General features: G+C 43.2%; 2 long non-coding RNA genes across 2 annotated transcripts in view; one reads left to right on the top strand and one right to left on the bottom strand.

Annotated features, from left to right (window-relative positions):
* Positions 1-4,340: 4,340 nt before the first annotated feature.
* LOC124901636 (uncharacterized) lies at positions 4,341-10,031 on the top strand. The gene is made up of 2 exons (XR_007060327.1): positions 4,341-4,641; positions 9,550-10,031. It is a non-coding gene; the product is annotated as an uncharacterized LOC124901636 (long non-coding RNA).
* A 1,473-nt stretch (positions 10,032-11,504) lies between these two features.
* SEC61G-DT (SEC61G divergent transcript) overlaps positions 11,505-26,634 on the bottom strand; it is a 45,657-nt gene continuing 30,527 nt past the window's right edge. Inside the window, exon 3 of the long non-coding RNA NR_110040.1 lies at positions 11,505-11,808. This is a non-coding gene — a long non-coding RNA (SEC61G divergent transcript). The remainder of the gene's footprint in view (positions 11,809-26,634) is intronic.

Raw genomic sequence — 26,634 nt, 5'->3', positions numbered from 1 at the left:
ATAACAAAAAAAGAAAACTACAAACCAATATCCCTGAGGAACATAGATGGAAAAATACTCAACAAAATACTAGCTAACCAAATCCAACAGCATATCAAAAAGATAACCCACCATGATCAATTGGGTTTTATACCAGGGATGCACGGATGGTTTAACATACATAAGTCAATAAATGTGATACACCACATAAACAGAATTAAAGACAAAAATCACATGATCATCTCAATAGATGAAGAAAAAACATTTGAGAAAATCCAGCAATACTTTATGATTAAAGATCTCAGCAAAATTGGGATAGAAGGGACATACCTTAAGGTAATAAAAGCCATCTATGACAAACCCTCAGCCTACATTATACTAAACAGGGAAAAGTGGACAGCATTCCCCCTGAGAACTGGAACAAGACAAGGATGCCCACTTTCACCATTTCTATTCAACAGAGTACTAGAAGTTCTAGCCAGAGCAATCAGAGAAGAGAAAGAAAGAAAGGGCATCTAAATTGGTAAAGAGAAAGTCAAACCATCGTTGTTTGCTGATGATATGATCATATACTTAGAAACCCTAGGGACTCATTCAAAAAGCTCCTAGAACTGGTAAATGAATTCAGCAAAATTTCAGGATATAAAATTAATGTACACGTATCAGTAGCTCTGTTACATACCAACAGTGACCAAGCTGAAAATCAAATCAAGAACTCAACACCTTTCACAATAGCTGCAAAAAAAATTAAAATACTTAGGAATATACCTAACCAAGGAGGTGAAATACCTCTACTAGGAAAACTACAAAACACTGCTGACAGAAATCATAGACAACACAAATGGAAACACAGCCCATGCTCATGAATGTGTAGAATCAATATTGTGAAAATGACCATACTGCCAAAAGCAATCTACAAATTCAATGCAATTCCCATCAAAATGCCACCATCATTCTTCGCAGAATTAGGAAAAAAAAAATCCTAAAATTCATATGGAACCAAAAAAGAGCCCACATAGTTAAAGCAAGACTAAGCGAAAATAACAAATCTTTAATAGATGTTGGTGTGGATGTGGTGAAAAGGGAACACTTTTACACTGTTGGTGGGAATGTAAACTAGTACAACCACTGTGGAAAACAGTGTGAAGATTCCTTAAAGAACTAAAAGTAAATCAACCATTTGATCCAGCAATCCCACTATTGGGTATCTACCCAAAAGAAAAGAAGTCATTATATGAAAAAGATACTTGCACACACGTTTATAGCAGCACAATTTGCAATTGCAAAATTACGGAACTAGCCCAAATGCCCATCAGTCAATAAGTGGATAAAGAAAATGTGGCATATATATACCATGTACTACTACTCAGCCATAAAAAGGAACAAAATGACGGCATTTGCAGCAACCTGGATGGAATTGGAGACTATTACTCTAAGTGAAGCAACTCAGGAATGGAAAACCAAACATTGTATGTTCTCACTCATGTATGGGAACTAAGCTATGAGGATGCAAAGGCATAAAAATGATACACTGGACTTTGAGGACATGGGGGAAAGGGTGGGGGTGGTGAGGGATAAAAGACTACACAATGGGTACAGTGTACACTGCTTAGGTGATGGGTGCACCAAAATCTCAGAAATTACCACTAAAGAACTTATTCATGTAATCAAACACCACCTGCTCCCCAAAAACCTATTGAAATAAAAAAAAATAAAATTAAATAAATTTGAAAAAGAAAAAATAAATGGAGTAGACACCACTTAGGATGGCTGCCTGACTCCAATTCACTTTTCTCTGAAAACTCTCCCAATACACAGTGGTTGCTGCCAACCACCCTGTCTGTGGTAAGGAGCCCTGCCTCCTGCTAGAGTCAGTAAATATTTAACTCAAACTCAGCCAGTCGAATTTTGTGCCAGGATTGTGTAATTTGGAGCTGAGAATCTAGAAACGTATGAACCTACAAAGTGGAAATTATGGGCCCCTCAGTGTATCAGTAGAAGCACTCTATGGGGACAGCCACGAGCCCCTGAGTGGAAAACCTTGGAGCTGCCTTGGTTCCCCTTCCAATAAGTTCTTCCGTGATTCCATTCCGTGAGCGGTTCATTGCAACATACTCCAACTGGAGAAACAAACAAAAGGATAAACATAAACAAATCCAGGAAGATGCAAATCAACCTATTCCTGCAAGTCTCCTCACTACGGAGAGGGGCAGTGCCATGAGCAGTAATAAAATTGATGACTTTATGTTCACCCTTTCTGGGGGCTGAGATTCAGGGTGATCATATAGTGTATTTTCTAAACTAGATCACTTAGCAAGTAAAAGTGCACTATTAATTATGTTGGAATAGGAGCTGCAGTCTGACATACGAGGACAAATGGTCACTCTTCCCAGACTGCACCTGATGCATCTTCCTCAATCCAAAATCTGTGGTAGAAATAAACCAATGTGGACCTATTTTCAACAGGTAGCTGCAAACCAAAGACAAAGGAGGGCTTACAAATGATGACCTTGTCTAGGAAAATTTCTATGTGAAGGAGTCTGCAGAAAGATGCAGGAAAGCGTAACTCCCATGAAATGAATAAAAAGCAGAAGCACACAGGCCTAGCTGAAGGCAAATCAGAAAAGGAAGCTGGAGGTTTTAAGTCTGTCTGGCAGGAAGAGTTGCTTTCTGCACTGCACCAGAGCTGAAAATGGCTGCTCCATTGTTCAAAATCGTTGTTCAACACTGTTCAACACCATTTTACTTTCTGTAAACACAGCGACACTCTTCCTGGCAAGTTTCACGGTGTGAGCTTTCCAATTTTACATCCAATATTCTGCGGTTTGCACATGCACATGAGCTAGCTAGAATTCAGGGTGGGGTGTAAAACAGAGACAAAAACCACAGCAATGCTCTAAGGAAGTCCCATCCAGTTCAGAGCTGTCCTGTGCAGCTGTCTCCCGAAGGCGCCCAGCAGGGCAGTGTGCCCAGGCTTTCTAACTTGTGACTTCTGGTAACACAGGAGAGAACATCTCCTATAGTGGAAGGTCTCTGATGAAAAAGATCCACAACCAACCCAGAAAATAATGTTCTTGAGGTAATCAAGGAAAAGATGACATTTCAAAAAGACTGAATACATGATATAGCTTGAGAAAAGAATACTGGCTTCTCTTTCTTTTTTTTTTTTTGTAAATAATTAATTCTTGTTCAAGGAGACATGCAGTAGAATTCCACAATAGATAATTAAGATGGTCTGTAGTTGATGAAAACAAATGGAAAAATGATAATTGTAATAAAAATAGGATTCTATATTGAGCACTTATGATGTTCCAGAGACCGTATTAAGCATGCTAGTTTAGTGCCTTATTGCTCACAGTGGTGAGAAGATGTAATATCTGCATTTTACAAGTGAGGAGACATTAAGTTCGCATAGCCAGTGAACGATAGGTAGAGCTGGTTTGAATTCGCATCTGGCCAGTCCAAAGGAGTGTTGATCATCATTCCACACTACCACAGAGTCTTAGCTCAGACAGGGATCTAAGCAGAAGCTTCTCAGAGCCCCATGTGTGCACACTGTACACTTAAGTCAGTGAACTGTGCAGTAGGCATTACAGGCCCTGTGAAGAGGACTCTTAATGGGTAATGTATTAATTGGATATTACTCCAAAAGCAATGTGCACTTAATGTCAGTAAATTAGAATCCCATTTACAGTAAGTATAATTAACCCACTGAATATCCATTACTAGCCAGCTTTCTGCAGAGAAAGATCATTTTATAAAATGTCTTTTTTTTTTTTTTTTTTGGAGACAGAGTCTAGCTCTGTCACCAGGCTGGAGTGCAGTGGCGTGATCGCAGCTCACTGCAACCTCCACCTCCTGGGTTCAAGCGATTCTCCTGCCTCAGCCTCCCTAGTAGCTGGGACTACAGGCACCCACCACCACGTCCAGCTAATTTTTGTATTTTTAGTAGAGACGGGGTTTCACCATGTTAGCCAGGATGATCTTGTTCTCCTGACCTCGTGATCCACCCGCCTCAGCCTCCCAAAGTGCTGGGATTACAGGTGTGAGCCACCGTGCCTGGCCTAAAATGTAATTTTTTTATAAATACACTTTTTGTTTCTAGGAGCCTACAGCTAATATTAAAATATTTTTAAGCAACTGTCAAGCAGCAGGTTCAATAAGTCTCCTATTCAGTAGGAGGGTGGAACTTTCTTTGTACTTAGTGTAAGTAAACTAAGTATGATTTTCAAACTCTACATGGAAAATGGCTTTTCCCTGCTTACATCAAACAAGTAGACAATTTATCAACATATCACTTCTGATTACTTCACATTTGAGCGAGAGCCAAGGTTTAAAACCCCAGTCTGAGGAATGCATACATACTCTCTGACAGTGGAATGAAGGAAAGGTATACCATTCTGACTTTAGTATACGTCCCCAGGAACGTGTTTACACTGAGAAGCATGTGGTATGATGAAGGTCACTTGGCAGTTTGGCCCTTTCTTCTCTTTGGCAGTGGGAGGCCATGAGAGCCGGAATTCTCACGAGCAGCAGCGGCCCTGTGGCCCTCAGCAGAGGGACTGACTGGAAGCAGATGTGGCACAAGTCTCCCCATGCGGCTTCACTGTTGACTCTCAGGACATCTACCCTGGGGACTTCCCGCACCAAGAAGACCCTGAGGTGAGATAAATAGGCATCTTTCTTTCAACGAATTAAACAAAAGTGGATAACTTGATGGAGTAGCTGGAAGTCAATGCCACTTGCTTTTAGAAATGTGGCCTTATAAAGTGTAGGTGAATTGGAACATCTGGAAATATTTTTGAAAATAAATCACTGCTCAACTGAAACATTAAATAGCTTTTTTTATTTTTTATTTTTTTTGGCAAGTGATCTATCTTAGCATTACTTAGAAATGAACTCCTGGCAAACCACAAACTTAATGCTCTCCAATGAGATCAGCACGTAATTTGTTGTATTCTTAGGATTACTGTGCTTGAACTATTTCAAGAGTTTGGCCTGGCAGGAAATGAGTTTAGGGTGAAGCGGGGATGACAGGCACTACAATTTCTCTTAGTAGATTTTTATCAATCAGTGTTCATAATGGAGACCTGCATAAAGTCAGGAAACTTTACAGGAAATTGTCTGTATATACTTGGTTAAGAATCTTATTCCCATAAAGCCACAGTTAAAGTAAAAAACATGTGAAAAGCCATATTTGATGGAAGTAGAGACACTCTATAAAAAGAAACAGGAAAGCCCCAGAGTGGAATTAAACACACAAACTCACATTTACTTCAAAGAAAATAGAATAACTGTGTCAAGACCTCATACGATGGGAATCTCCTCTTTGCAGAAAAAGCAATGCTTCCTGTTTTGGGTTTTCATTATGTTTCTATAAATCCCTGAGAACAGAAAGGTGATTTCTGATCATTCTTCAACTACCATGTTTATGATAAAAGGCGACATTTCTGTGTGTGTGTGTGTGCATGTGTGTGTGTTCTTCTCCGTGAAATGCTTTGGCCAACACAAAAAATTAGTGATATAGCAAAATATTTTTGTGTGTGTAAAAATAAAAAAAATCATAAACAAAATGATACCAACTATAGTAACGATGCGAAGATATGCTAACATGAGAACAGCAGGGAAAAGGTGTTTACAAACAAATGAGCCAGGGGCCTCTAGGAGGGGCTGAGGAAAATTGTATTGACATTATTTTGTTTATGTATTTTTAAATTAATAGCCCTTTAGAAGATCTTAGGAGTACTCTGCAGACTAACATGTATTCTGGAATTTCCTCTGTAAAGAACTCTGATCAGCAAGAATTATAGGTGTTTTTCTGTCTGTGTAGGAGCATTTCTTCAATGATTCATTTCATTGTTTTGAGAACCTCAATGAATTGGTAAGAAAATATTTAAGATGGATAAGAACTAATTTTCTTAGGAAGAAGAAAACATTTCTGGAAACTTGGAAACCCCATTGAGCATGTGTAAGGAAGTGAAATAATCTTTCATAACGTGTATACCAGTAAGACACAGAATGATATTGTCCTTTGTTAAAAGGTGGCAGGAAGGATTCCTACCTCACTGCTGAAGGAATATCTCACAGTCTAAACAGATGGTTTAATCTGTCCTCCTCAGTAGAACATTTACCAGTAATAACGTTAATTGGCACCAACCATCTACATGACAGTCTAACTTCAGAGAACAGTGTGATTTTATTTATGTGTCCCTAAGAATGTCTTTATTCTAAAATTCAGAGTGTACTGCAATTTTGTAAGTGGCTTTGATCCCACGTTGCTTCGATCTAAGTGAGTTCACCCATCAGATCTGAGAACTTATGTCCAGCACTGACTTTACTTCAAAACATTTCCACATCTATCTGGGGTCTTTCACCAGAGACCTTTAAAACCGAGATGAAAATCTATTTTAATACACTGAAATGTATTTGACTTTAGCAAATTTAAATGTATTAGTGGTCAAATTGTCATTTGTTTCACTTAGGCTGATTTCCTCTGTCTAGTTATCTGCTAACTCTGAAAATATTTGTCAACAGAAATATTAACTAGCATTTATTGAATGCTAAACCAAATGATAAGAAAATTGCTATAACTGGCTGGGCATGATGGCTCATGCCTGTAATCCCAGCATTTTGGAAGGCCAAGGCAAGTGGATCGCTTGAGCCCAGGAGTTTGAGACCAGCCTAGGCAACATAGTGACATTGTCTCTACAAAAAACAAACAAAAAATTAGCCAGGTGTGGGGTCATGCCTGTAGTCCCAAGTACTCAGTAGGCTGATGTGGAAGGATAGCTTGAGCCCAGGAGGCAGAAGTTGTGGTGAGCCGAGATTGTACCACTGTGCCAGCCTGGGCAACGTAGTGAGACCCTGTCTCAAAAAAATTGCTATAACTGAGTATTAAATTTAGCCAACACAAAAATATCGGGGGAACTAGCCCCCGATAATTCAACATAGGTTCTTTTCTATTTTCCCTACATGTTGGCCGGTCTGAGAAATAAAGGGAAAGAGTACAAAAGAGAGAAATTTTAAAGCTGGGTGTCCGGGGGAGACATCACATGTCGGCAGGTTCCGTGATGCCCCCTGAGCTGTAAAACCAGCAAGTTTTTATTAGCAATTTTCAAAGGGGAGGGAGTGTACAAATAGGGTGTGGGTCACAGAGATCACATGGTTCAAGGGCAACAAAAGATCACAAGGCAGAAGGTCAGGACGAGATCACAAGGTCAGGGCAAAACTAGAATTACTAATGAAGTTCCACGTCCCACTGTGCACGCATTGTCATAAACATCTTAACAGGGTTCAAGAGCAGAGAACCGGTCCGACTAGAATTTGCCAGCCTGGAATTTCCTAATCCTAGCAAGCCTGGGGGTGCTGCAGGAGGCCAGGGCATGTTTCATCCCTTATCTGCAACTGCACAAGGCAGACACCCCCCAGAGTGGCTATTTTAGAGGCCCCCCTCTGCCGGGGAATGCATTCTTTTCCCAGGGCTGTTAATTATTAATATTCCTTACCAGGGAAAAAAGTCAGTGATATTTCTCTTACCCGTTTTTGGTAATAAGAGAAATATGGCTGTCCTGCCTGGCCCACAGGCAGCCAGACTTTAAGGTTATCTCCCTTGTTCCCTGAAAATTGCTGTTATCCTGTTCTTAAGGTGGCCAGATTTCATATTGTTCAAACAAAAATGCTTTACGAACAACTTGTGCAGTTAACGCAATCATCACAGGGTCCTGAGGCGACATACATCCTCAGCTTACGAAGATGACAGGATTAAGAGATTAAAGTAAAGACAGGCATAGGAAATTATAAGAATATTGATTGGGGAAGTGATCAATGTCCATGAAATCTTCACAGTTTATGTTCAGAGACTGCAGTAAAGACAGGCGTAAGAAATTATAAAAGTATTAATTTGGAGACCTAACAAATGCCCATGAAATCTTCACAATTTATGTTCTCCTGCCATGGCTTCAGCCAGTCCCTCTGTTCGGGATTCCTGTCTTCCCGCAACATGAAAAGATGCCACAATAAATGTATAATGCTTACTGGAAGATTTTAAAAAATATCTTGAAGGAAAAAAGCATGTTTCTGGCCATATCCTTTAGACAAATATTGCCCTATAAATTTTGCTTTGACAAAAATTTGAGTGCCTATTTGTACCAAGTCTATTGTGGGCAAAGCTGGATATATTGGTGTAAAAAATAGGTAAAACCCCTGTCCTTTTTGCTTTTGTAGGCAAACAACTAATAAAACATATATGATGTCAGATGATGCTATGAAGAAAAATTACAAGAGAAGTGACATAGGGTGAGGTGTGCTGGTCTCCAAGATGGCCTGGCCAGGCCACATAGGAGGGTGACATTTGAATTTCCATTGCGAGGGATGTGAGGGAGTGAACCATCTCGAGAAAGAACATTTAGGGTGGAGCAAATAGCCACTGCAAAGGCCTGAAGCTAGTACAGTAATACAAGATCTTTTCATTTGATAATCTTCCACACTACCTATATGGTAATATCCTTCTAGAGAGTTCAAAATAAAGTTGAGCCTGTGCTATTTAATAGGAGTATCTTTCCTTAGATACCTGAGCAGATACTTTATTTGGGACTGGTACCAAAGGAAGTGGCTAGAAAAGTAAGACAGAAGGGAGGAAAGTCAGAATAGGGTATGTTCATGAGCTCGTTCCTGGGTGCACAACTAGGTCTCTGTTCACCGGGACCCCATTCACACAGAACATGTCTCGCTAGACAAAGGTGGCTGGCACTTAATTTTTAGTATCATTTTTTGCAGAGACGGCAGGGGGGCGGTCTCACCATGTTGGCCAGGCTGGTCTCGAACGTTTGGCCTCAAGTGTTCCTCTGGCACTTTGGGAGGCTAAGGCAGGAGCAACCAGCCCAGGGAATTAATTCACTGCATTTTCTTTTCCATTGGTTGATGATTTTCCTGGGCATTTTACCCTCCTCCATCTCAAGGTTTGTGATGATTGAGTGTCCCCCAACTTCAGGGAGAGCCCAGAGGAAGCAGGGCAGAGAGATACCTGGCAGAAAACTGAGGGCGAGGGCTCACCACGCAATGCATCATGGGCAGCTGCTGCAGCAGAGAATAGTTACTGGTACTTTCTGCTCAGTGCGGATAGTCTGTTTCTAACAAGCAACGACATGAAATAGACAGTGTGACTACAGAGTTGACAGTATGTTATAAAAATTGGGGAGCCCAACTTATCTCTCTTGAGCAATAAGCCAATATGCAGACTTATCAAAGAGACTCTTTAAGGTGCCCACAGGCAACACCCTTTAATTTTAATTTTGTGCAAAACATTCTGGAATTTGCTTTAAAAAGTTAAGAAAACCTTGTTGAAATCAAGGAGATTGATAGAAGAAACAGTTTTACTTTAAAACTTTTCAGAGAATTTCAATAGACTCCAGTTAGCTTTGAATAGCGTTAGATTTTCTCCAACCTCTTACAAGACCCTTAAAAATATACTTCAAATACCTGAATGTGTGATGCATTGAGTAAAGTGAGTTACTGGCTAACATCGGAAGATTCCAGGGCTCAGTCCTCACTCCTCTTCTTCTCTGTCTACAGTCACATGCTTGCTGCTGTCCCCATCTATGATGGCTGTAAATTCCATTTGCCTGCTGCTGTCCATGAATGGAAGTCTACCTGGGACCCTCTCCTGACCTGGAGACCCACACATCCAAATGCCTACTTGGCAGCTCCCGTGGATGTTTCGTGATCAGCATTCCCAACAGTGAAATCCTGAATGCTCTTCCCCAAATCCACTCCACACACGGCCTTCCCTATCCCTTGTGGTGGCAACTGAGTCCACTGTGGGTCCATGGGCCCCCCTTTCTTTGACTCCCCAGCTCCAGTCCCCTAGCAAGACCAGCTGGATCTGCTCTTTGGATTGCCAGGATCTGCCCACGTCTCAGGGCCCTCACTGCCTGGCCCACACATGATGCTCAAAGACACTCTCACACATGTCCAAATATTTAAAAGTTATACATCAAACCCACAAACTTTAATTTGATAAGTAAAAAATGTTTAAATAAACAATTTTAAAAGTACATTTAAAAAGTTCTCTCCTCCTTCCTTGGTAGAGATGACTGCCTAATGATGTAGAAGGCCAAGTTCTACAGAGCTTGGGATTCCTGAATTTCCCCGATAGGAGGTATATGGGAGGGAAGGCTGCGGGGGGGCAGCCTGCCCATGGCCCACGCCCTGGCTCCCCCTCCCAGCTCTGTATGCACCCCTGGGCATCCCATCCACATGTTCATGTCCACGCACACGTTCCTCACCAGTCTCAGGGATATGCACACTCACTTCAATCTTCCCCAAATTATAGTTGTTCATATAGCAGATTTGTTTCTCTCATCTTATTTTACATTTTCAATTCTCTATATTTTATTTGTTTCTTTTTTCTTCCTTTTTTTAAACTTCCTCTGAATAGTTCAAAATTTCTCTGCTACCCCTGAAAGTTACACATTCTGATTTTGTTCTTTTTTTTTTTTTTTTTTTTAAACGGAGTCTCACTCTGTCGCCTAGGCTGGAGTGCAGTGGCCCGATTTCGGCTCACTGCAACCTCTGCCTCCTACGTTCAAGTGATTCTCCTGCCTCAGCCTCCTGAGTAGCTGGGGTTACAGGCGCATGCCACCATGCCCAGCTAATTTTTGTATTTTTAGCAGAGACAGGGTTTCACCATGTTGTTCAGGCTGGTCTCGAACTCCTGACCTCGTGATCCGCCTGCCTCAGCCCCGCAAAGTGCTGGGATTACAGGCATGAGCCACCACACCCGGGCTTCTGATTTTGTTCTTATATTTGTTGTTATATTGACAGCTGACTTCTTTTCTGGCTTACACTTGTGCTTTTATTTCCCTAACATTGTTTCAAGATTATTGCTATTTACGTCTTTTCTCAACATAACTGAAGAACCGTAGCATGCTCTCATCTGGCGTGCGAGAGTCCAGGGGTTTGAGTTTGGGGCGACTGATGTGTGGACCTCATTGCTGGTGTGTGTGTGCATGCCTGCACCAAGAGCCCATGCCAGCTTCTAAGCCCAGGCAGCACTGGGCAGGGCATGGGAGGTGATGCTGCCCAGCTCTGGATGGACCAAGCCCCAGACTCTGACAGCAGCTCTCTGCCAAGGCTCCTGTGGAAAATTGCACGGGGTACAGAGAACACTCAAGGCCACATCCCCGGGACGGTCAGCCCTTCTGTCCCCAAAACCTAAATTGGGATTGAGTCATCTCCTGTGTCCGCCTTACTTTATTGGTTTATTTCAGGTGCAAAGCATTGTTCTGTACTTATGACCTGCCGCATTCTCTCTGGAATCACTGGAGACAGGTTGGGAGGAAGAAGTGGCTCTCTGTTTTACTTTAATTCTCCCCTACACAAACACTTTATACGTTGAAGATGTGTGGCCTGAAATGCATTGGGAATAAAACTATTAAATAAGCCACACTGCTTATAAGTAATAACTCCAAACTACTACTCTTGGTGGGGAGAATTAATGTCACTACCCAGAAAGTATTGCGACAAACTTTTTTTTGAGACATCTACTTCAAAATCAGTTTATTCAAAAGAGATTAACATGTTCACTCCCACCCCTGCCCTACATACTCACACCATCAGTGTGACAGGGAAGGCCCAGGGAAGAAGTGCTCTGTGATCACAGATAGTCCATCGCGGTGAGAGACCCACCTCGCAGTGAGGAAAACAGTGCGTTTTATAGGAGCACAAGTCCCCTGGTAATGTTCATGAAGGTTGCTCTTCAGTGGATCTTTCAGCAAGTGCATACACAAGGATGACGGGCTTTCTACAGTTACAACATGTTCAATCTTCTGACTAGGTCAAGAGAAAAAAGAAAAAACAGACATCCCAGGTTATACGTCTGTCTGCACTGGCAGGATGCTCCCAGCGAGGGGACCTCCAGTTAGGGAAGCTCCCAGCGGGCATTGCCAGGTAAGCAGCTCCTCTTGAAGAATGCAGTCTCTACTGGGTTGTTTAGCTTGTGTGTGCCACACGTTGATACTCTGCCCAAACAACAGCTGTTTTAACTGAAGTGGAATATTCCACGCAACACTGATACAAAAACAAAATAACTCTTCGTTGTATATTTTCCTATGTGGAAAATATAGGCTTTGTCAATTCTATACATGCAGACAAAAATACAGAAAACGTAAAGCCTATTGCATAAATTGGAAAGCCTGTTTATGTTGTGATATATTGTTACATTCAAATTATATAGGGAGTTCGCTGGAAACGTTCATTGCTGAGACCACTTTGTTTCTGAAGAGACCATGTGTGTCCGGAGCTGGTTCCTGCTGGTGGGTTCATGGTCTCACTGACTTCAAAGAATGAAGCCGCAGACCTTCATGGTGAGTGTTACAGCTCTTAAAGATGGCACAGACCCAAGAACTGAGGGGTAGCAAGGTTTACTGTGAAGAACGAAAGGACAAAGCTTCTGCAACGTGGAAGCGTACCTGAGCAGGTTGCTGCTGCTGGCTGGGATGGCCAGCTTTTATTCCTTTATTATGCCCACCCATGTCCCGTTTCTGTCCTATCAGAGTGCCCTTTTTTCAATCCTCCCCACAATTGGCTACGTTTAGAATCCTGCTGATTCGTGCATTTGACAGAGCGCCAATTGGTGTGTTTTACAGAGCACTGATTAGTGTTTTACAGAGTGCTGATTGGTGCGTTTTACAATCCTCTTGTAAGACAGGAAAGTTCCCCAAGTCCCCACTGGACCCAGGAAGTCCAGCTGGCCTCACCTCTCACATGGACCTTGGCAAACCCTCAGTTGGGCGTAAGAGAGGCGATGGGTGTCTCAGGTTGGGCTCCACACCCAGGGTTATCCTGGAGGCAGCTCCTGGGGGCTCAGAGCACCAATTGTTAAATGCACAGCAATTCTATGAGGAAGCTGCTAAACTGTTTATAGCTTGAAATCAGCTATGGCAGGAATCTTTACACAACAAAAGTCAGCAAATGCCGCAAATCAGGGTTGTTGTTGTTTAAATTCAGAAAGCTTATTTACACCACTATGCCACCTTCCAGGCAGAAGAGTGTAAAAGGTGGAGAATTATTACAGGGTGATTGCACTGCTCAGAGGGGTAAGAGACGCTATCCAGAATGCAACAGCATACTGTACCAGGAACATTTTTACAAGCTGCCTGGTAACATGTTTCGGTCTCTGAATTTGGTTGGATTATTAAAGATTCACATCCTGCATGTTTTTATAATTATTATTTCAAATTACAGTAATAATTTCAGCCTAAGAATTAGCTAGCCAACGTTTGGTCTCCTGTATGTCAGAAAACCTTTCCATGACTGGTTACCATGCTTTCAAAGAACATCTAGTGGAGAGGCAGCAAAAAAAAGCAGGCCAGGAAATTGCTCACATGTATTAGAAGAGAAACTTGTCAGCAACCTTGTTGGAAGTCCTAGTCATCTTCCAACTAGTTCTGACTCAGCAAGCCGCTCAGGAGTGCACCCACCAAATGCAGGGGAAGGCCCAGGTAGGTAGTGAGGGAAGGTGCCAGCCTAGCGGGTAGCTCCTCAGCTTAGATTTGAATCAGTGAAAAACAGAAATATGCTCTCCTGACTCAGTCATACTGTGCTAAGGTAACAACCCAAGCGGCTAAGGAGCAAAGTGTGATTTTTCATGGAGAGAAAATATTGACACAAGAGCACGTGTAGGAATTTTCCATTTATCTCACAAATTATCCTGATCTAATTGACTCGGGCATCAAAAAGCCAGTGCTCTGAAGAAAGTTGCAGTCGATAACATAAGGGAGTGAATGAGATAGATTTGCAGACGTCAGAATGTCAAGAAGAATGCCAGGCCTGAAGACCCAGAAGAAGATGTACAATAATTATCTAAACAAGAGAGATGCATCTGAGACTTAGTGAGGGGCACAGGGTCCTTGAATTACGATCCAAGGGCAAATCCAAGAAGGGTTAACGTCGTCATTCAAGTAACTTTATTCCAGGCAGAAATTTCTACATACCAAGAAATGTCTGAGAGAATGGTCCAAACTTACTCGGGGTTGAGGGGGGCGGGGGCGGGTGGGGAAAGTAGTTGTTTTGTTTAGGTGCAAAGGAAAGACAGAGTAATAAACTGAAGCAAAACGTACAAGTGCAGGTGTGAACGAAAGGACTGGAGAAGACCCAGCCTGGAGCATGGCCCCGTGCCAGCCAGGAGCTGCTTGGGTCGGCGTTGCACTGCGTCTGATGAAGAATCTGACTTTGACTGCAAGTGCTGCCTCTTACCATAACCTTCCCTAACGCTGGCCTCTGATGGTTCTGATCTTTGCTGCCAGAGCTGCGCTGAGTTTTCTCTCTCTGCTTTTTAGATTTCCTTGAATATTTTAAAGAAAAAGTTAAAAAAAATAAGATGCTATATCCTGTTCTGAAACATTTTCAGGAAGTCCACTACAAATTGCATTTGTAAAGAAATAATAAGTGTATTCAAAGGACTAGGCATGGTTTTATATTCAGCCCACAGCCTAGCAGAGCCAATAAAACCAAAGTCAAGTCCCAGTTTCAGGTGGAGACCTCTCAAGTCATGACATCCCTTTTAATGATCTTAGGTTTATTTATATACAGGAGGTGGATGGAAAAATGGGGTTTTGTGGATATTACTATTTTTGTTCCATGAGGAAACAGTTTTATATATTCCTTGACTACCAAACAACTGGGCTAAAAGCTTGAAATTAGCAATCCTTGTCATAAAGACAGAAGGATACTACGCTGAAATGGAGGAGAGTTAGTATTTCATTAATTCAACAATTATGGAGCAACTGTTTTGAAACAGTCACACTGTCAGATATTAGAATATGTAAATCAATTAGACATATTTACCACTCTCGAGGGACTGAGGGACTGCTGAGGAAGACATGTGGAAAGGTTGTTACAATCCAGGTCAGTGAGATTTCATGTGAGTAATGCAGGTAATGATCACATGAAATGCGGAGTTACCGAATGCACATGAAGTTCTCATGTCGGAAGGCTAGCTTACTGATGTTCAGTGTCAGCTAGTCATCAGATGTGGAGAAAATCAACTGTGTACTAAGTCTAATTCATTCAGATGAAACATAATAGGAACTCTTTTTTTGTTTGTTTTTGTTTTTTGAGACAGAGTCTCGCTCTGTCGCCCAGGCTGGAGTGCAGTGGCGCGATCTCGGCCCACTACAACCTCCGCCTCCTGGATTCAAGCGATTCTCCTGTCTCAGCCTCCTGAGTAGCTGGGATTACAGGCACGCACCACCACACCTGGCTAATTTTTGTATTTTTAGTAGAGACGGGCTTTCACCATGTTGGTCAGGCTGGTCTTGATCTGCTGACCTTATGATCCGCCTACCTCAGCCTCCCAAAGTGCTGGGATTACAGGCGTGAGACACTGCACCCAGCAAAAGGAACTCTTAAAAGTTCATTAACAAAAAGCATCATGGAAATGCAGAGGGGAACCTCATGTGGTCTATAGAATTCGGAAGGGTGTCCTGAGGAAAATGATATTTTTGTTGTCAAAATAGGATTTGGCCAGAGAGGGAGGATAAAAAATTGTAAGGTGTTCAGAAATGGCACAGTGAGTGTGGGGACTATGGGCAGTTCGGTGTTGCTGGATCATGACGTGCAAGGCACAGCTGGCAATGGCAGACTGGAGAGGGAGGACCCTGTGTGTGCTGGTAGCATACTTGGATTTTTTTTTTTTTTTTTGAGATGGAGTTTCACTCTTGTTGCCCAGGCTGGAGTGCGATGGTGTGCGATCTTGGCTCACTGCAACCTCTGCCTCCAAGGTTCAAGTGATTCTCCTGACTCAGTCTCCCGAGTAGCTGGGATTACAGGTACATGCCACCACGCCCAGCTAATTTTGTATTTTTAGTAGAGACGGGGTTTCTCCATGTTGGCCAGGCTGTTCTTGAACTCCTCACCTCAAATGATTCTCCTCAGCCTCCCAAAGTGCTGGGATTACAGGCGTGAGCCACTGCGCCTGGCCTTGGATTTCTTATGTGGGCAATGGCAAGGCACTAAAAGGGGCTAAGCCAGACAAATTTCCATTTAAAGGTGAGTGCCCAAACCACAGTGTGGGAGACAGATTTAAAAGGGACAAGACTTGAGACTAGAGATGATTTTGGAGGCTTCTGAGTTGTCTAGGTGCGAGTGAGGGTTTGGACTGAAGCAGTAGGAGTAGACGAGGAAAAGCAGAGCAGGCTGGAGAAATAATAATGAAGGGAAATTGGAAAGACCTCCAGGGGTAGAGAAGGTGATGGAAAAGACAGAACTTCTAGGTTTTGATAACTGGTGACAGTCCCCACCAGCCACAGCAGAGTACAGAAAAGGCAAGGGCTAGCTAAAGAGGTAGGTGATGATGTCATTGGAGACACCAGAAGAATAGTGATGATGCCCCCGAGGCAATTAGGTCCTTGTCTCTGCAGCCTGGGGAAGGGCAGAAATGGAGAGCAGGATTGGAGAGTCAGAGGAAATAGGCAGAGAATCCAAAAAGTGCTCATGACGTTAATTAAGGGGAGTGTGTGGAGGAGATAAGCAGGGAGCCAAGAATTTAAGGTCTGAGCCAAGAAAAAGAAAGGAAGCTATGGAAAAGCTAGAGATACCTCTAAAGTTCAGGGTCAGGCATTTGGGGGTGATCAGGGAGGGCTGCTGTCCTCAACTTCCTCGAAGTAGGATGCAGAGCAGCCTGCTAGCACAGATGAGGGGTGGCTTAAGGAGATACAGAAAAGTCTTAAATAGATACAATTCTTAATTTAAAAACAAATTTAAAAAGGAAAAAAAAAAGGCCAGGCGTGGTGGCTCATGCCTGTAATCCCAGCACTTTGGGAGGCCAAGACGGGCGGATCACGAGGTCAGGAGATCGAGACCATCCTGGCTAACATGGTGAAACCCCGTCTCTACTGAAAATACAAAAAATTAGCCAGGCATGGTGGTGGGCGCCTGTAGTGCCAGCTACTCGGGAGGATGAGGCAGGAGAATGGCATGAACCTGGGAGGCGGAGGTTGCAGTGAGCTGAGATCGGGCCACTGCACTCCAGCCTGGGCGACAGAGCGAGACTCCATCTGAAAAAAAAAAAAGAAAAAAAGGAAAAAAAGAGAAAATTCTCACCAAAGACAATTAGGAGACTGAAGTGAAATCATGAGGCCAGCTGAACGCTGAGAACGTGCATTTTCAGTGGCGCAATTCTGCCACGCTGTGTAGTGATCTTTTTCACGAGCTGGTCATGAGCTACCAGGGTTGGAAGAGAGAAGGCTGACCTGAGCATGCACACCGCTGGATTCCACTGGGCTGTGTGAGGAGACGCAGGATGGTGGGGAGTGAGGGGAGCAGCTGGGTTCGGTGTGGGTGCAGAAGAACTCCAGGCGAGGCCAGACCAGACAGAGCGTGCTGTGGCTTAGAATCACGGTACTTTTTAATTGGCTGTATTTGTCAGAGGCATTTCCCTCCTTCCTCCTCATCTCACTTTCGCCTCTCCGACTTCTGTAAATTGTCCTTAGCTGTTTCATGGCTAAGAACTTTTTAATACTTATTTCATTAATTTCATCCCATGATAATTTTCCTTTTATCTGGGGTTATCTCCCAAACACTAAGTTGCCTGATACATGAACAACAATTCCATTCTATCTTGCTCACCAAAAATGTTTCTGAAGTCGTTCATGTGTTCCACCCTACAGCCAAATTAAGAATGTTAAAAAGTCTTCTAGCCACTTATCCCATGTTACCTTAGTTCAAGCCATTTCATGTTTTATGAGCTCGGTTACACAACACGTAACCATCTAATTGGCTTAACTCCTCCTCTGAAAGAAACTTGAAACAAGTTTCTTTGAGGTTGGGACCTCCTCTTGCGTCTTAGTTCTTAGACAGAAATGTGAGTGAAGTTCAGAAGAGTGGTCACTAGGGAGGGGAGTAAGCCAAGTTCAGAGTGCAAAGGCTAACTAGGGAAACAGCCTAGAGTCTTGAGATTTCCAATTCCTGGGCATAAATGAATGACTTTGCAGACCTTCATCCCAAGACGACGACTTCTGCCCTTGCCTCTGCCTTTGCATGTGAGAAAAGGCCTGGGCTGGGGTGAAGTTCTGTCCCTGAAATATTTCCTCAATGCCCCACACTAATTCAGAAACTCACTGAAGGCGCCCACCACCATGCCCGGCTAATTTTTTATATTTTCAGTAGAGACGGGGTTTCACCATAGTTTAAAACATGCATATTTGCCAATACATGTAAACTTTCCAGTCATGACCAGCTCGATGTGAACGAGTCTGAGTTAAGAGCTCTCTCTTCCTAACTGCATTGGCCACCACGTCACAGACAGGCGGGGCTTGTGGTGGGCGTTTGTTGTTCTTCTGTTAGTACAGTCCCATGGTTCACTGTTTTTCTAAAAGTGAGTTTGCACCTGTGAGAGAAGAAAGCTGAATTATCAGAAGCTAAAATATCCGTGAGCTCTGTTGGTGTCCGGCGCCCTGGTGCAGCCTGGGTTGTGTGGTGTTCTCACACTCTATCCCACCTTCAGTATGCCTGGGACAGGGAACACCACAGAGCCGCCTTTGTCCTATTGGTGGCCCACGGGCACTGGGTCAAAATTAGCAATACTAGCACTTTGCCTTTTTGTGCCCACAATACTTCGATCCTCCTGATACTTCCTTCCCTTGCCGCTCTGCTAACCTTGGGCAGGTTTTGGCCTAGGTCCCTTCTTGTGTCTTGACTGGCATTTCAGTGGTTAGTCCCCACATTGGTACACGATGCCTGCCCAGAGCTGGCCATGCCTCCTTTTGATTGGCTCTCCCCTGAAGCCTGTGCTGCCCTGGCCAGCCTTGGTCAAGACTTACAGGCCTTGATGAGGCAAACTATCCAGATCTTCTCTGGGCTAATAGCTCATGCATTCATTTCATAGACATTAATTGGTGGGATACCAGCTTGATGCCAAGCTCTGCGTTAGGCCTGGGGATAGCAAGATACATAGACAATGGTCTCTGTCTTAGAAGGCCTTTGAGGTACCCAGATTGCAGTGACAATGACCCATATTTGCACTTGTGAGAGTAGTCTCATTATTCTGGAGCTAGCAGCTGATATATTTTTTGATGTCCCAGCACATAATATCTTATGATTTTAGGCATCCTGCAAATACAAACTGCCAACAGGATCTCTTCAACATCCACAAAACCCAGTGCACTGATGGAGGCAAGGAAGTTAGCACAAAGAAAATTGGAAATACATGTTCCTATGTGATTGTGAGCTCTACCTCCTTGGCGGTCAGGACACCACGTAGCAATGGCAAGACTTGGGCATCTGCCTCTGTTGAAGATGGAGGTAGAACTGCAGCTTTTAAAAAAATAATCAGCTGTGAAAAACTGGGAAAAATAGAGCTTTTGAAATGCCACTCTGCCTTGCATAATTCTGGAATAAACAAAACAAAACGTTTCCAGAACAGTGTTTTGGCATGTGTCCTTAATAACCTTGTTTATGAAAAGTACCTGAGATATAGCCCAGCACCTGGAGTAAATGAAAGAGTAAATAAATGTCTCCTGGAGCTATTTTATGTGATACCACTGGCCAAGTCTATATCCTAGTATCACAACACTGCTTCTACGAGAAAATGTAATTCTACTTCTATCGATTCAAATACAGCCCCTTTCTTGATGCATGTGTGTAAGACAATATCCTCTGGCCCAAGACGTCCTTTTTGAGACAGACCTCATCAGGGACATGTGTCCTTGGCCCTGCCTTCCCTAGACAATGGGGTCACCTCAACCGGATATCATTACCAATGAAAAAACCTTAAAATCAGTGCTCACCCAGGTCTAACACAGGGCAGAGTGGTCATTTGGCATCCCTTGAAACAGGGATTCTTTTGTCTTGGTCCAGTGCTTTTCTAGAGGAGAAGGCTGGGTGCTGCCTGAGAGAGAAGGGAGAAAGGTGGTCCCTGTCAGCGGTTCTTATCTTTCTCTAAGACAGGAGACTCTGGGAATCAGCCCTGCCTCCCTACAGACAGAATAGTGACCAGGTGTCACTCAAGCATGTTCACACTGATGGTTTAGCAAAGTATTTTTTTCAACGACATCAGAACGTCCTGAAAGACTTGTGATGATTGCGCTACACAAACATCTTGCCAGCTTTCCGTGATTATGGACTATTGCCCACAAAATGGTTTAGAGGCCCAGGGGATGGGACCACAAATTGCTTAATCCAATACTGATGAGAAAATGATGTTCTGCTCAGAGACGAGGCTGAAAACAGACCCTCTGCTTTCTCTATGCCCTGGTGAGTCTCAGGTTACACCAGTAAATAACCCCTCTTCTTTATTAAAGAACCACGCAGAAGTGCTCAGGAAATTACTGTTTAATCATGTAATATCCAGATTGCTCAAACAATAATCTAGAGAGAGAATTTTTATGGCGCATTTAATATTTTGTTATTTCAAGAACATGCTGCCTTGTGTATAGCAGAATGTCTGCAAACATTTGTGGACTCATTGATTACAGAATTAAGCTATTTACATTTTTAAAAGAAACATCAAGAATTAGGCTTACCACTGCTTTAAAAGATATACATCAATGTTTTTCTGACTGTGAAAAATTTAAAGTTCTAGAAATTATCCTGCATCATTTTTAAAGGGCATGCATAAGGAAATACACTCTACAGTCAAAATATTAAAAATATCAATGCAAGGTGGAGACAGCATGACAAACATTGCAAAAGAGGAAAGAAACGCAGGCCAGGGTCGCCCACCCACTTACCAGCTGGGGGCACTGCTGTTGGGGCACATGATTTACCCATATTGACAAAATTCCTATTATTGTTGTTACTCTAGTTTTTATCCACAAAATACACACCAGAGTCAATTGGTAAGTGGAAAATAATTATTTTTTCTGGAAATCCTAATCAGTATTTCTCAGTGTTTACAAAGAATCGAGGAAGAACAAGTGGCTTCAAATACAACAGAAAATATTTCATTCAATAAAAGCATTTGGAGGAAAATATTGCAGCATGGCCTTCCTGGCTTCAAGTGTTCTCGGGAAGAAAATGCACATCCGTCTGTGATGGCTTGACAAAACATATCTGCTGAGGAGGAAAAGAGGCCAAGCTCATCAATCTCTTAAGGTTCCTCTAGTATTAAAGTGATCTTAATCCATTTTTAATTGGATTTTTATGAAAGTAGCTATCACATGGTTCCAAAGTTGTGACCAAGCACTCACATCATAAACATCTTAATTTGCAAAGCACCAACCCTGGTTCTTGGGAAGCCAGGCAGCCTGCAAAAACAAACTTAGAGGCTGCCAACAGGATCTCTTCAACATCCGCGAAACCCAGAAATCGTTTACAGCGTGTATTGTCTTCGTGTATGCACATTTGCTGGAGAGAGGATCAGTTTCAAAGAGGCCCCTGACGCTAAATCTGCTGCCCTTGGGAATTCTGTGACCAGCACTGTGCTCTATTCGATGGCCCCCAAACAACGTAACCTCTTAAATCTCTGTTTCTTTCTTTTTTTTTTTTTTTTGAGATGGATTTTCGCTCTTGTTGCCCAGGCTGGAGCGCGATCTCAGCTCACTGCAACCTCTGCCTCCTAGGTTCAAGCGATTCTCCTGCCTCGGCCTCCCAAGCAGCTGGGATTACAGGCATGTGCCACCACACCCAGCTAATTTTGTATTTTTAGTAGAGACGGGGTTTCATCATGTTGGTCAGGCTGGTCTCGAACTCCCGAACTCAGGTGATCCGCCCTCCTTGGCCTCCCAAAGTGCTGGGATTACAGGCATGAGCCACCACGCCCAGCCAACCTCTGTATCTTTCATTACGTTGAGAGGACCTCCTCTTCTTACTTCTGGGACTCATTAAATCCAAGAGTCCCTCTGAGTGGCTTCCCATGGCATCTACCCCAACCCCTCCACACAAATGGAAAGCTCTCTCCTCTGCCCACTCGGCTACTGCGGTGGTGCTTACCCACACTGGGGAGGATGCGTGTGTGCTGGGCTCCTGCTCACCTCTGGGCCCAGCCTCTTGCATGGTTTCTGGAACTAAGGCCAAATAATATGCATCAAATTGAGTGGATTTGATGACTCTCCTATCCCCCCATTTCTTCCACACATAAAGCTGACCAGTTTCTTTTTCTGTTTGTTTTTTGCATGTGCTTATTTTTTATCTTATTTTTTGTTTAACGTTTAAATTCAGGGGTCCATGTGTAGGTTTGTTATATAGGTAAACTTGTGTCACGGGGATTTGTTGTACAGATTATTTCATCACCTGCATATTAAGCCTAGTACCCATTAGTTGTTTCTCCTGATCCTCTCCCTCCCCTCATTCTCCATCCTCCAATAGATAGGCCCCAGTGTGTGCTGTTCACCTCTATGTGCCCATGAGTTCTCATTATTTAGGTCCCACTTACAAGTGAGAACATTTGGCATTTGGTTTTCTGTTCCTGTATTAATTTGTTAGGGATAATGGCCTCCAGCTCCATCTTTCTTCCTGCAAAGAATATAGCTGCATAGTATTCCATGGTATATATGTACCACATTTTCTTTATCCAGTCTACCATTGATGGGCATTTAGGTTGATTCCATGTCTTGCTATTGTGAATAGTGCTGCATTGAACATACACATGTATGTGTCTTTATGATAAAATGATTTATATTCCTTTGAGTATATACCCAGTAATGGTATTACTGAGTTGAATGGTAGTTCTGTTTTTTGGTCTTTGAGGAATTGCCACACCGTCTTCCACAATGGTTGAACTAACTTACACTCTCACCAATGTGTATAAGCATTCCTTTTTCTCCACAACCTTGCCAGCTTCCATTATTTTTTGACTTTTTAGTAATAGGCATTCTTACTGGTGTTAGATGGTATCTCATTGTGGTTTTGATTTGCATTTCTCAAATGATCAGTGATGTTGAGCTTTTTTCATATGCTTATTGACAGCATGTATGTCTTCTTTTGAAAAGTGTCTGTTCATGTCCTTTGCCTGCTTTTTGATGGGGGTGTTTGTTTTTTTCTTGTACATTTTTTTAAGTTCCCTATAGATGATGCTGGATATTAGACCTTTGTTGGATGCATAGTTTGCAAAAATTTTCTTCCATTCTGTAGGTTGTCTGTTTACTTTGTTGATAGTTTCCTTTGCAGTGCAAAAGCTCTTTAGTTTAACTATGAAAGAGGTCCCATTTGCCAACTTTTGATTTTGTTTCAATTGCTTGTGGCATCATCATGAAATATTTGTCTGTTCCTATGTCCAGGATAGTATTGCCTAGGTTATCTTTCAGAGTTTTTATACTTTTATACTTTAAGTCTTTAATCCATCCTAAATTGATTTTTGTACATGGTATAAGAAAGGGGTCTAGTTTCAATCTTAGGCATATGGCTAGCCAGTTATCCCAGCACCATTTATTGAATACAGAATCCTTTCTCCGTGGCTTTTGTCAGGTTTGTTGAAGATCAAATGGTTGTAGGTGTGCAGCCTTATTTCTGGGTTCTCTATTCTTTTCCATTGGTCTATGTGTCTGTTTTTGTACTAGTACCATGCTGTTTTGGTTACTGTAGCCCTATAGTGTAGTTTGAAGTCAGGTAGCATGATGCCTCCAGCTCTGCTTTTATTTTGCTTAAGATTTCCTTGGCTACTGGGAAGTGAGGAGCCCCTTTGCCCAGCTGCTGCCCGTCTGGGAAGACAGGAGGGCCTCTGCCCAGCTGCTGCTCCATCTAGGAAGTGAGGAGCGCCTCTGCCCACCCCCGGCATCATCTAGGAAGTGAGAAGCACCTCTGCCCGGTGGCCAACATCTGGGAAGTTGGAGCACCTCTGCCTGGCCACTGCACTGTCTGGGAAGTGAGGAGCGCCTCTGCCCAGCGCCGCACTGTCTGGGAAGTGAGGAGTTCCTCTGCCTGGCCTCCACACTGTCTGGGAAGTGAGGAGTTCCTCTGCCCTGCCGAGGCCCTGTCTGGGAAGTGAGGAGCGCATATGCCCGGCCGCCCCCCTCGTCTGGGAAGTGAGGAGCCCCTCTGCCCTGCCGCCCAACTGACTGGAAAGACAGGAGTGCCTCTGTCTGGCCGCCACCCTGTCTGGGAAGAGAGGAGTGCCTCTGCCTGGCTGCCCACCTTCTGGGAAGTGAGGAGCACCTCTGCCCTGCTGCCCAATTGACTGGGAAGAGAGGAGCACCTCTGCCCAGCTGCCCACCTTCTGGGAAGCAACCCTCCAAGTGTGAAGTGACAGCCTTGTGTGTGATCTTTCTGCCCTCCCCAAGTTTGCATTTTTTGACACTAAAGTTTACTTTTTAATTAAAAAAAAATTCCTTTGCTATTAGGGCTTTTTAGTTCCATACGAATTTTAAAAATAAGTTTTGCTAGTTCTGTGAAGAATGTCGTTGGTAATTTAATAGAAATAGCATTGAATCTGTAAATTGCTTTGGGCAGTATGGCCCTTTTAATGATACTGAGTCTTCCTATCCAAGAGCATGGAATGTTTTTATATTTGTTTATGTCATCTCTGATTTCTTTGAGCAGTGTTTTGTAAACTTCATTGTAGAGATCTTTCACCTCCCTAGTTAGCTGTATTCCTGGGTATTTTATTCTTTTTGTGGCAATTGTGAATGAAATTGCATTCCTGACTTGGCTCTCAGTTTGACTATTGTTGGGCTTACCAGTTTCTGATCAGGACAATTTCTGGAATTCATTCTGTCTCTTCAAGTTCTTTGCACAGTAACTTTTCCTTAGGCCCCTTAATCTGTCACTGAGGAAAATTTTAAGAAAATACAGAATGGTGCAGGATTAAAATGGCCATCGATCCCACCTCACCACAAAGGGTTGGCTTTGTGTTTGCAGCCTGCTTTTCTCTTCCTCAATTGTTTTGGCACAACTGGCTGAACAAATAGTGTTTTGGAGTGTGAAATGATGAAATAGTGTTTTAACATGAAACTCCATGGCAACAATGTAATGCATTCATGGTAAGGGGCACAGTCATAAGATGTGACTCTGCCAATGTTTGATATTTTACTAGTGTGTACAAACTAATTAAACTGATTGCACTATAAGCATGACTTGATATTTCCATGTACTTTCCTCTGACAGAAAAAGTGTCAAATGTAAAATCTGATCTTAAATAAAGGCCTGTAATGACATTTACTTTCCTGACCTGCGTAGCCAAACTGAAATTTATATAGTTCTTCCTTGAAGCCAAAAGAAATATAGGTTTGAGTCAAAACTGCTTTTAGGACTCTGGCCTGAGGAGCCCAGGCTGAATTCATGAAGGTGAGGCGTGTCCCAGGGGTGCTGCTCTTGCCTGTGGAAAACGATCTCCTTGTCCAGAGCCCAGCTTGAGCCACAGGGAGATTGCACTGGGCATTGGACAACAAAGGACAGGGCTCTGACGTCCTCTGGTGAGAACAGCCATTTCTAGGACTGTAGGATTTTAACACCTGGATGTCTGTTTCTATAGAAATACTGAGAAACAACAGGCAGAGGGTGGGTGGTAGGCACTGGACCAAGATGATTTTAAGAATTTCAATCAAGGAAAATACCACATAACTTGGCTCTCAGAAAATGAAAGGAGATTCAGGCATGAAATTAAGGACCCAACCAGCTTAGTTCCTGAAAACAGCCAGCATTCTTCCTGGAGCTGCTGTACGCGCTGGGCCCTGGCCGGGTGTCTGTGTGGCACTAAGTCCCCAGAAGAGGGTCTCCCTCCGTGGGGCAAGAACTGCTTGAAACAGGGGGTACACCAGATGCCTCAGCTCCAGAGGGAAGAAGACCTACAGGGTCCTCATGTCACTCAGTGAAAAGCACTGTGGGGCCACCCATGGCTGTGGTTTCAGGTGAGAACTGCAGGAAGAATTCTGAACTCAGGTAGAGAGAAGACAAAATGTGTTGAATATGAAAACTCACGAGCACCAGAGGAAAGCAATGCCTGCCTTCTCCAGGTGCCACCATACCCCATGCGAGAGCTGATGTGCTCACTTAAGGGTTCTAAACTCCAACTTTACAAAAGCAACCTCAATCACCTTCAAGGGCGTCTGATGACATCTGAGATAACAGAATTGGGCTGTGTGGGTTACTGGACTCAATTTCAAGATTGTCTCAGAAATGTTTTTGATTGACACGTTTCTGAATCAAGTTCCTGTGGGTATATATGTACGAACTTACCAGGGCTGCAATATTTTGAGACTCGATGGTCAGATGGCAACTCTCCCCTGCTCTTTGATGATTGAGATGGGGAAATGTCTGCAACAAAATGCATGGGAATCCTCAACGTCCTCTCAAAACCTGGAACGGCTCCAAGGTTCCTTTCACCCATTGCTCCTACTTCTATCCCCCATGGTCCTGCAGAGCGAGGCTGGCCCTCTTTCCGGTGACTGCCATTAAGGTGGCTGCAGATGGTTGGCAGCATCTCTGAATTCTCTCTTCTTCCGTGTTTCCTCAAAGGAGAGGATTTTGAGTCCTTCAACTGTCTTTGTTGCATTTTTTTCCCGAATGTGACAGTCTATCAGAAAATATTTGGGCTTAGAATTTAACACTATATTCCTCAATAAATAATCATGAAAAGCATCAGAAAGCCAGTCTGAAGACTGCAGAGAAGAGCAGGCCTACTATGTGCAGACGTCTCTCCTGCTGTAGCATGTGGTAGGCTCACATCTGTAGAGCTCTAGAAACAGCATAGTACCAGAGACTGACGCTCATGTGTTCTCTGCTAAC

This window comes from Homo sapiens, chromosome 7 (assembly GCF_000001405.40).
Source record: "Homo sapiens chromosome 7, GRCh38.p14 Primary Assembly".
NCBI lineage: Eukaryota > Metazoa > Chordata > Mammalia > Primates > Hominidae > Homo > Homo sapiens.
The sequence above is the reverse complement of the archived record's forward strand: the minus strand, read 5'-3'. Positions and strand labels throughout refer to the sequence as shown.